Source organism: Homo sapiens, chromosome 1 (assembly GCF_000001405.40).
Source record: "Homo sapiens chromosome 1, GRCh38.p14 Primary Assembly".
Classification (NCBI taxonomy): domain Eukaryota; kingdom Metazoa; phylum Chordata; class Mammalia; order Primates; family Hominidae; genus Homo; species Homo sapiens.
Genome location: NC_000001.11, coordinates 62,585,569 through 62,596,883, shown reverse-complemented (window position 1 = coordinate 62,596,883; position 11,315 = coordinate 62,585,569). Strand labels below are relative to the sequence as shown.

The following is an 11,315-nucleotide window of genomic DNA, read 5'->3' as shown; positions in this document are numbered from 1 at the left end:
CATTTCACTCCCTTTTCTCCACTGTGTTCTGTGTCTCTGTGTTCTAGGCTCTTTACCATGTGCTCGTTGAAGGAACAATGGATATGTGGTCATCTAGGACCAAACTAGAATTGAATCTTAAATACCTTCAATGTCACAAGCAGCTTGCCCATCATAAGTTTTTCTGAAGTTTGTTAGCTTAGTAACAATTTTGATAATATACATTTAACAAAAAGAGGAGATTAATAACATTTTTTTTTTAAAGATGATGTCTTAATGTATTGCCCATGCTGGTCTGGAAATACTGGGCTCAAGCAATTCTTTTACCTTGGCCTCCCAAAATTTACAGGCATGAGCCCAGCCGATTACAAGCGTGAGCCCAGCCAATTAATAATATTTCTAAAAATAAATGTTCCACTATGCTTCCAACTTAGTGTTAAAAAAATACTAAATGCTTATATTAGTGATTATTCTTATTGAGTGTTCATATTAAGAAATTTGTGAGAAAATAGCATCCTTTAAAACTGCTTAATCTTGACATATTAATATGGTGAAATTGTTAAGAATATGGGTGCTGGAGTCAGACTGTGGTGTGGGTCCAAAAGCCGGCTCTAGCTGTCTGGCCTTGGACAAGTTACTTAACCTCCCCATGGATTAGTCTCCTCATCTGTAAAGCTGGGGTAATTATAGTACATAATTCATAGTGTTATGATAATTTAACAATAATACATGTAGAGCACTTAGAACAGTGCTGGGCAAACAGGTAGTGCTCAAAATGCTAGTTATTATGTCACATGAAACTAACTTTTAACCTGTGTATGTGTGTGGGTATATATAATCAACCTTACCTAAAAGAAATTTTTCATAAAGTTAATAGCTTTTTAACACAGGGAAAAGTTTTATCATAATAAATTTCAGTGTAAATTATAAATTGTTAATACAAAATAAACCATTTCCAAATTTCTTTTCTTTTTTAGAGACAGGGTCTTGCTCTGTTGTCCAGGCTGGAGTGCAGTGGCATGATCATAGCTCACTATAGCCACGAACTCCTGGGCTCGAGCAAGCCTCCTCCCTCTGTCTCCCAAGTAGCTGAGACTATAGATGCATGCCACCACACCCAGCTAATTTTTAAATATTTTGTAGAGACTGTGTTTCACTATGTTGCCCAAGCTGACCTTGAACTCCTGACTTCAAGTGAACCTCCCATATCAGCCTCTCAAAGTGCTGATATTAAAGGAGTAAGCCACTGTGCTCGTCCCTAAATTTCTATTCTTAGAAATGCCTCTTCATTGTGTAAAATAGAGGCTCTTCCTTTTGATGACTTAGGATTAAGGGTTTTGGGTATAATAGTTACAGTAGAGGCAGTATTCCATAGTGGTTAAGAGCATGATTCTGGAATAAGACTGCCTGAATCAGAATCCCGGATTTCATATTCTTCAGCTTTGTGACCTTTGGTCAAATTACTTCACATCTCTGAACCCCTGTTTTCTCATCTCTCCAGTGAGAATAACACCTATTTTATAGGGTCGTATAAAAGATTAAAAGTTTATATTTTCAGAGCACTTAGAACATTATCTGATGTATCATAAACACTACACAGTATTATATATTAGCCATTTTTGTAATTAGAACTAATCAATGCATTTGTACCCATACTATAGTATTTTACTGGTGAAAATTAATTGCATATTAAGATAATGTAAATTGAGAAATTTTGTTATAGTCTAGATTTTCTGAATTTTGGTCTCGTACCTTTTTAAAGAATTACATCTTTTGATTAGGTTGTGTATGATTTTTAAGTGTCCAATATAGAACCACAAAAGGGTAAGAAAATATTCTTCATTTCCATCTTACCCTTTACTCTGGTTCATGTAATGGAATTATAGAAGTGTATGTTGAGCTAGAGAAGAAATTCAAATTTTCTCCTTCTTTAAATAGAAAAGTTACAGTTGTAATTATTGGTCATGAAATACATATTTCAAAACTTCTCTTAATTAAGCTGTCAGCTTTTGTGGCTTATAACTATTGACCCTGATATTTCATCCACTTGCTAGTTGAGGGAGAATATAGATGGGCCAGCTTCTCTCCCCTATTACACTATAAGCTGTTGATTGGCAAGATTTGTATGTGTTTTTAACTTATATTCCTTATAATGCTTTAGTACAGTAATGCCTTACACATTGTAGAAACAATATTTATTGAATAAGAGAATGATAAAATCAACATATAGGGATTTCTAAGTGCAGAATGTATACGTAGTAGTGTTTACCCCCTTTTGATATAGTACATTCTTTTTAGAGAAGGGAATTTGAAGAGTAGCCCCTTTTTTAGTTAATGAAAGTAACTGAGCACTAGTACCAAAGACAGGCTTTATGAAATTATTTCCTTCTATATTATATCCTACTGTAGTAGGATACTAACACTTTTTGCAAAATTTGTGCAATTTCTCACAAATAACACTGACAGAGTAGAGGTAATGGTCACGTAGTCTTGGTTTCTAGTATATTGTCTCTTGGTATAAATATCTGTATAATTCTTATAGTAATTTGAACAGCATTATTGATTATAATTAAAGTAATTTGCCTAATTATAAACTGCAGAAGCATTTCAACGTGGGAAAATGCATTGAAAGTAGTAATTTTATAAAGGATTTTCTGCCTGCCTTTTAATACTTCCTGTCTGAGTACACACTGCTAAAAGCAGAATCTGATCTTTGCTTGAACTTGTGCCTATTTAAATAGAACCCTGATCAAATATAACCAGTAATGTAAAAACTAAAAAATTTTATGCCAAGGAAAATAAACTTGTAAGCAAATGTAGGGCCTAATTTAAGGATTCCTAGTTCCTAGGAACCAATATAAAAATTTCTTAGCTACAGAGAATTTTAGGACATTTAAGAGCCTAAATTGTTTAAATTCCAAGCAAAGCAAAGTCCTTTATCCTACACGAGGTTGTGTAATCTTATGGAGATATGTCTTTCAAATAAAATACAAGGTATTTTGGCTCTTTTTTACATAGTATCTCTAATTTTTTCCTTTTTAACTACAATAGTTTGTTTTTTAATTAATGTTGTATAGGAAGATCCTATTGTATGTTTTATACTGAGAACATATCTCAGTTAGAACCACTCACCTATCAAGTGCTCAATTGTCTCATTAGACCGTCTTTTTGGACAGTGTAGATCCAGAGGTTAAGTGAGCTTTGAAGGAATAATTTTATCTATCTTACTGTTTTGTGTGTTCACTATTAACATGTTAAGTTTTATACATATATATTTTTTAGTTGAACAGCCGTATCTTTGGACATGTAAAGATTTTTTCTTTATTTATTTTTGAGACGGAGTTTTGCTCTTTGTTGCCCAGGCTGGAGTGCAGCGTCGTGATCTCAGCTCACTGCAACTTCCCCCTCCTGGGTTCAAGCGATTCTCCTGTCTCAGCTTCCCGAGTATCTGGAATTACAGGCACCCCCAACCAAGCCTGGCTAATTTTTGTATTTTTAGTAGAGACGGGGTTTCACCATGTTGGCCAGACTGGTCTCGAACTCCTGACCTCAGGTGATCTGCCTACCTTGGCCTCCCAGAGTGCTGGGATTACAAGCGTGAGCCACCATGCCCAGCTAAGATTTTTAATGTGCAAAGTACTTATTGTGAAAATTCAGGTATTTCAAAAACCTATAAAAAATAAAAATCTCGACTCTATTAACATTTTGGGTCTATCATACCAGACCCTTTGAATGACTAAACATAATTTTTTATAACACAAGTGGGATCTTGTTATGTATAATAGCTCATGATATATATATCATTCAGGATCTTAGTATTTTAAAATTTATTTTCCTATGAATGTCTATAGAGTTACCACGTCCTTTTTAATAGCTGCATAATCCTGTTATATAGATGAACCTTAATTTAATCAGCCCCCTTTTAATCATTTGTTTCCAATTTTCTAATTATAAACAGTATGTATAGAAAATGCTTTTATGGTGGTGATGTATGTATATAAATATTTTCATATACATTCATAGATGTTGACTTGTAACTTACGATTGCTTTTGTCAGATTGTCCTTCAAAAGGGTTGTACCAATTTACATCCCTGCCAGGAGTATATGAGAGTTCCTCTTTTCCTATATCCTTTTACAAATGCTTTTAATGAAAAAGGCAAAAAATGTTGATAAATCTAATAGACAAGTATATATCTAGTTTGTTTTGCTGGCCATCTCTGTTGCCGTCTTTGCGAATCATCTGGTTATGTACATAATTTGCTCCCCTCCTTGTTACCCTCTTTTTAAGTTTGTCTCTTTCTGACTAATTTTAGGAATTATTTACATATTGTGGATACTAATTCTTTGTTATATATATAACAAACAATAGATTTTTTCAGTTTGTCATTTTCTTCCTCCTGCGTTTATGGTATCACTTGCTGTGTATTAATAGATGCTTTAAAAATTACATCTTATAAATGTTCTGGCTTATGCTAAGAAATGCCTTTCTCACCTATAAAATCCGGTCTCTTTAAAGCTCTTCTAGTATTTTTGTGGTTTTATTTTTATTATTTTAGCCTTTGATCTATAATTTATTTTGATGAGAGATTGAAATAGGAATTCATCTTTTTCCTGCTAAGTGTCAACTACCTCAACATTTTTCATTAATTTACCTTGTTGATTTGAAATTTCTTTGAAGGAGAATTTTAAATGCAATGTAAAGACTTACTAGATTTATTTGGGAATTTATTAATGGAGTTAGTAGTCAAATGGAAAAGAATTTGGATTCGGAACTCAAAATTGCATGCCTTTCACCTTCAGAGATGAGTTTAAAATTATATTGCTTATATTGGAAATCAAACGTAGTTTATAGATAGTGTTCAATTTCTATTTAACCTGGAATCTAAACTCCTAGAAGTGTTAAGTAACTAAATTTTCTAATGCTGTCTGTACTATTCATTCATTTATTCATTAAATATGAGGCACTATTTAAGGGACTGGTAATAGAGCAGTTATACAAATAGATAAGGTCCCTGCCCTCATGTATTTTGGCTGTATTAGAGGAGATATAAAAATAAGAAGTAATACATAAATGAACAAGATAATTATAGATTCTATAAGAGTTCTGAATGAAGTAACAAAGTGGTGTGATGGGGGAAGGGTAAAGTTGAGGCTTTCCTGTATTTGAAAGATGGGAAGTAGCCAGTCATGTCCATGCCCGCAAAGCAAAGATAGTAGTAATCCAAATGTGGAGATTTGGGAGTGGGGGGTGGTAGAGGGAAGCATGCATGGCATGTTTGTTTTTCTGTATGTTTTGCTTGTCTATTTCATTTGGAAATTTCTCATTGACATTTGTGAGCAGATTTTTTTGAGTTTTTCTTTTCTTTTATTATTTTTTATTTTTTAATGTAGATTAATACTTTTTTTAAACTTTTAGGTTTGGGGACATGTGAAGGTTTATTAGGTAAACTCGTGTTACAGGGGTTAGTTGTACAGATTATTTCATCACTCAGGTATTAAGCCCAGTACCCAATAGTTATCTTTTCTGCTCCTCTCTCTCCTCCACCCTCCCTTCTCAGGTAGACCCCTGTGTCTGTTTTTTCCTTCTTTGTGTTCATAAGTTCTTATCATTTAGCTACAACTTCTAAGTGAGAACATGCAGTATTTGGTTTTCTCTTCCTGCATTAGTTTGCTAAGGATAGTGGTTCCCAGCTCCATCCATGTTTTTGCAAGACATGATGATCTTGTTCTTTTTTATGGCTGCATGGTATTCCCTGTGTATATGTACCACATTTACTTGATTTCTTTATCCAGTCTGTCATTGATGGGCTTTTAGGTTGATTCCATGTCTTTTGCTATTGTGAATAGTGCTGCAGTGAACATTCATGTGCATATGTCTTTATAGTAGCATGATTTATATTCCTCCGGGTATATACACAGTAATGGGATTGCTGGGTCGAATGGTAGTTTTGCTTTTTGCTCTTTGAGGAATCGCCATACTGCTTTCTACAGTGGTTAAACTAAGACTCCCACCAACAGTGTATAAGTGTTCCCTTTTCTCCACAACCTCACCAGCATCTGTTATTCCTTTTTTACTTTTTGATAATAGCCATTCTGACTGGTGTGAGATGGTATCTTATTGTGGTTTTGAATTGCATTTCTCTCATGATCAGTGATGTTGAGGTTTTTTTCATATGCTTGTTGGCTGCATGTGTGTCTTCTTTTCAGAAGTGTCTGTTCATGTGCTTTGTGAGCAGATTCTTTAATCCCAGGTCCTTGTCTGGCTGCAGTGTGATTCTGTGTTCACAGCATTTATCATACTACATTATTATCATTATTTGCTTGTCTGATTTCCCCTCTAGACCACGAGTTCTATGAAGCTAAGGACTTCATCTTTTATCTCTATTCTCAGTACCTATCACACTGGATACTCAATAAACATTGCAATGAGGAATTATAGACATACTTCAGGTTAATATATTACCATGTGCTTTGGATTCTGTTCTTTCCCACCATCGCCTCAGGAATCTTACATTCTTGTTCTAGTATATGCAGACTCTGTCTTAACTAAATTATTTTCACAAGGATGTGATCAAGATCAAACCTTTCTTATTTTAAAAGACTTCCAAAATTCCCATAGTCTGTCTCCAATTATTGCATTATCTTTTTTCCCTTCACAGCTACTTTTAAGAATTTCTTACCTCCTTTTTATTCCTGACCCTACTTTTATCTGTTTGCAGCCTGAGATTATCAGTGACTTTCATTTTGCTAAATCCCGTTGAATTTTTTCAGTACTTGCCTAACTTGGCTCTTGAGTAGCACTAAATATTTAATTATTTCATTTTTCTTATATTTTCTTCCTTTGGTTTCCATGTCATTGTACTCTGGTGGTTTTCTGTCTTCTGTATGGGTGCCCTTTCGGTCTTCTTTGCAGACTTGTCTGTCTCTGTCTGAACGTAGAATCTTGGGATTTCTTAAGATGCCATTCTTAGAACAACACAGATGAGTAATTAAATGATATACTTTTTTTTTTTTTTTTTTTTTAGATGGAGTCTTGCTCTGTCACCCAGGCTGGAGTGCAGTGGCGCGATCTCGGCTCACTGCAAGCTCCGCCTACCGGGTTCACGCCATTAAATGATATACTTTTAATTCTTTCATAGTTGGTGTCCTTGAGAATAACTCTCAGCTTGGGAAAAATGATGTACAGATACAAGACAGAAAAGATTAAGTAAAAACCTTATAGTCCTGAATTTGAGTTGGAAATATCAGTATGAAGTCTGGATACTTTTTTTTTTTTGTTGGAAGCATTTCTCCCCAACTCTTTGTACTTAAATTGTCTAGAAACAGTGACCAATCCACAATGAATGCTCACGTTGTGGTTTGAAAAAAATGTTTCTTAAGAAAACTACAGCTTCTTGGTAAAATGACTGACTCCAGGTCGGGGGAAAAAAAAATAAGAGTCTGGAACGTCTTGTCATAACAGAAAATTGTCACAGACCACTATGATTGAATCAAAAACCAGCTTGCATTGTTTTTTTCATTTGCCAAAGATGGGACAAGTTAATCATCCATAAGAATAATAACTCTAATATACTGAGACTCATCAAATATGTTTCATCTGTGAGTTTATAAATGATGCTAAAAAATAAGATGTAATTGATCGTTTTTGGAGGATTGTAGTGCACCAATTTATTATTTTGCAAACTGGCAGGTAATGGAAAAGAATCAAGCATTTATTCCTGCCTCTCATATGATGGTTCACTGGCAAAGCAAATAGTAGATGAGGGAAAGCACTCTTCATAAATGTACTCCAGATGCAAAATTAAAAAGAAATGACAGGATATTACCGTTTGGCAACCTTAATTAATTAATGGATTTAGGTGGGCTGGGGACTGTGGCTTGTGCCTGTTATCCCAGCATTTTGGGAGGCCAAGATGGGAGAATCACTTGAGCCCAGGAATATAAGACCAGCCTGGGCAACATAGTAAGACTCCATCTCTACAAAAAAATAGAAAAATTAGCCCAGTGTGATGGCACGTGCCTGTAGTCCCAGCTACGTAGGAGGCTGAGGCAGAAGGATCATTTTAGGCCAGGAGTTCAAGGCTGCAGTGAGGTATGATCGTACCACTGCACTTCAGCCTGAGCGACAGAGTGAGACCTTGTCTCTTAAAAAAATAAATAAATTTTAAAAATTAAAAAAATAATGGATTTAGGCATTGATCATCGTCTACTAATTTCATAGAAGGAAGCAACCAAACATTTCCTGAAAAAATAACACATTATCCTTTATAAAGTGATCTTCCTGAAAAAAATTCTAACCTAAATATGACTAAGGCGCTAGATTCAATTCTCAATTTACAAAAACCACAGAAGAACATCTCAAATGACACTACAGGGGTGCAATCAGTAAAATCTAGGCTCTGGAAAATCTACAGAGAAACTTCACTTTCTTCAACAAATAAATCACAAGGCTAGAAAAGATGGGGGATCTTATAAATGAAAAGACTTCCCCACAGACAGCTAGGTACCTATTTTTTCCTCCTATAGGGCTTTTGCATGCCTGTCTTGTAACACTGTGTTGTTTTGAAGTGGTCTGTGTATAGGCATTTTTATCCCATTATACTATGTTCCTCAAGACCAGGGAATGACTTCTTAATCTTCCTATTTATTTTTCTAGTGCCCAACACAATGCCTGACATTTGTTGGAGCAATCAGCAAATGTTTTCTTTATAAATTTTACTGGATGATTTCAGTGGTTGGTCAGTCATAGTCATCTTTGATCTTAAGTTTTTTAGACTAGCAAGCTGACCAGTCATAACAGTTCTGTATTTGCCTTTTATATGTTTTGACTATTTTGAGCACAACTGATTCTTCTTCTTTTTTTAGTACTTCTAGTTGGTGTGCTTATTGTCAAAGACATTCCCATCCTCTGGCATGGCAATTACTTTATTGCTTTTTCTAATTGTAAAGATCATATATTTTCACTGTAAAATTGTAAAGTATAAAAAAAGAAAACCATTACTATTAACTAAAACACACTCAAGCCCAGCCATCATTATTAGTTTTTAGAAATATAATTTTATCCACTCTGTCTCTCTACCTTCCCCCACACCCCCACACAGAGTTTTCCACAAATAGGGTAATGTTACTATACATCCTGCTCTGGAACCTGCTTCTTCCTCACTGTATATCCCATTCAACATGCTAGGTATCTCTTTCCACATCAATAAATATGGCTGTACATTGTTTGGGGATACATGATATTCCTTCTTATTAAGGTATCTTAATTAACCAACTCAGTACTGATAAACGTTGTGTTTCTTTATAATTTTGTGTAATCATTCTCTTATCAAAAATGTTGTAATGAATTACTTTGAACACAATCATTTGCACATGTGTACAGTTTTCTCCTTAGGTTAGAGGTGTGTTTGTTGGGTCAAAGTGTTATGTTCATTTAAAATTTCTATATTGCCCTACCACTCTTCAGAAAATTTAGACCTGTTTTCATTGCCCCAGCAGTTGATTAGCAAGGTTCTATTATACTAAACGTCTTGTTCATTGGCTCTAAACGCTAGTCTTCAGGTAAAGTAACTCTTGATTCTTTTTTTTTTTTTTTTTTTTTTTTAGCTATTTGGTGTCTTTTCTTGAATTATTTCTCTTCTGTGTGTTGGCAGCAAGGACTATTAAAGTTTGTCTATGATAGAGATGATGAGCTGGACAAGAATTCAAATAAATGCAAATTAGGATGTTATTGTTTTGTAGTAACTACCTAACTCTATTATATCCATCATATTGTAATGTGTTTTTGAAAAATAATGTGGAATATTATACCTCTTAAATTCTTAATCACATTTATACAAAAGCCACATTTATAAATGTCATCCTATTTATATGTGCTTGGAGGAACTAAGATAATATTAGAACTATTTTTTTAACTTAATAATGTGTCAGTCCATATTCATTTATTCCAGAAGCCTCTTGTAGAGTGAAGATAATGAGTTTTGAAGTCTGACTGACCTTTACTCTGATTTCAGCTTTGTCACTCACTTGGTTATATGCAAAAATCAGTTAACTTTTCTGAATCTCAATTTATCTGCAAAATTGGGACATGTTTTATTGCTGTGTATTTGAATGATTGCTCTCAGGAGTAAATAAAACGTCACATGTGAAAATACTTAGCATAATTGCTAGCCAATATCAGTAATTCAGTATTTGGTCACTTATTTTGTGGTATTTTGTGAGTGATACATAGTGTTTCTTAGATATGTATTTACTATCATCTATACTGTTGCTTTCACAGAAATCTTCTCTACATATACCCTCAGAGTCTTAATTTTGCCAATCGTCAAGGTTCTGCTAGAAATATAACAGTGAAAGTCCAGTTTATGTATGGAGAGGATCCAAGCAATGCCATGCCGGTAAGAAATGTTCTTTTACTTTTCTAATTTTTTGTATTAAGTTCAAATAGACTTTTTTCTTTCTCTTTGGTTGGCAACTGCAACCTGGAAATTAATGTGATCTTTTAAACCAAATTTCTAACTGCATTACTTTCTGTATAGATAGTAATGACATTACTTGAAGACTAACTTATTTTTGAAGACTTGGTATATGTTAGGCACTCCTAGAAATACAAAGATGAATAAGACTTGTAATCCAGAGGATATAAAATGAATACATATAAATCTAAAATAGTGATTTTCAAAAGAGGGTTAGATCACCTAGAGAACTCTATCAAAGTAGAGATATCTTTTCTGTACTTTTGGCGTCTGTGATTCTTATTCTCCTCAACTCCCTTTAGAATGTAAGGCCAGCTAAGGAGGTGGGAAGTGATGTGTGGTATATGAGGCTGTGTTATAGTTTGAAAATGCTCCGTGGGTGATTTTAATATGTATGGCTTTTCCTACCTTGGTTGACAAACTCTGGCATTAGTTCTCAATCTTGGCTGCACATTAGATTCACCTGGGAAGCTTTTCAAACTACCAGTGCTCAGGCTGAATCTCACTTAAATCATAATGTATGGGGATTGGACCAGGTTTCAGTATTTTTAAGTCTCACCAGGGATTACATTTTGCAGACAATGTTGAGAATCAAGCTATGTGCTAATTATTAGAAGATTGGTATAGGGATTCAAAGGAATAGGTAGGTATTCAGAGGTGGGAGATAATGCCTTACTGAGGTAACAGGCATCTCATGGAAAAGGTACTTTTGTGCTGAAACCAAAGGTCATTAAAATGTTAATAGCAGTGTGTTTGGAGAGCAGGGAAAGGAAAGCATTTCAAGTTGGGGAATGCCTGTGAACAGTAATGACAGTGGTGAGTTGCCAGGGAACCAGAGCACTGGAAGAAAAATCAGAAAT

General features: G+C 34.5%; 1 protein-coding gene across 15 annotated transcripts in view; it reads left to right on the top strand.

Moving 5' to 3' along the window:
- DOCK7 (dedicator of cytokinesis 7) overlaps positions 1-11,315 on the top strand; it is a 233,661-nt gene that overhangs the window by 91,503 nt on the left and 130,843 nt on the right. For all 15 annotated transcript variants that reach the window (XM_047432967.1, NM_001272001.2, NM_001272000.2 and 12 more), the window contains exon 15: positions 10,260-10,377. In XM_047432967.1, coding sequence (XP_047288923.1) covers positions 10,260-10,377 — 118 coding nt within the window. The remainder of the gene's footprint in view (positions 1-10,259; positions 10,378-11,315) is intronic.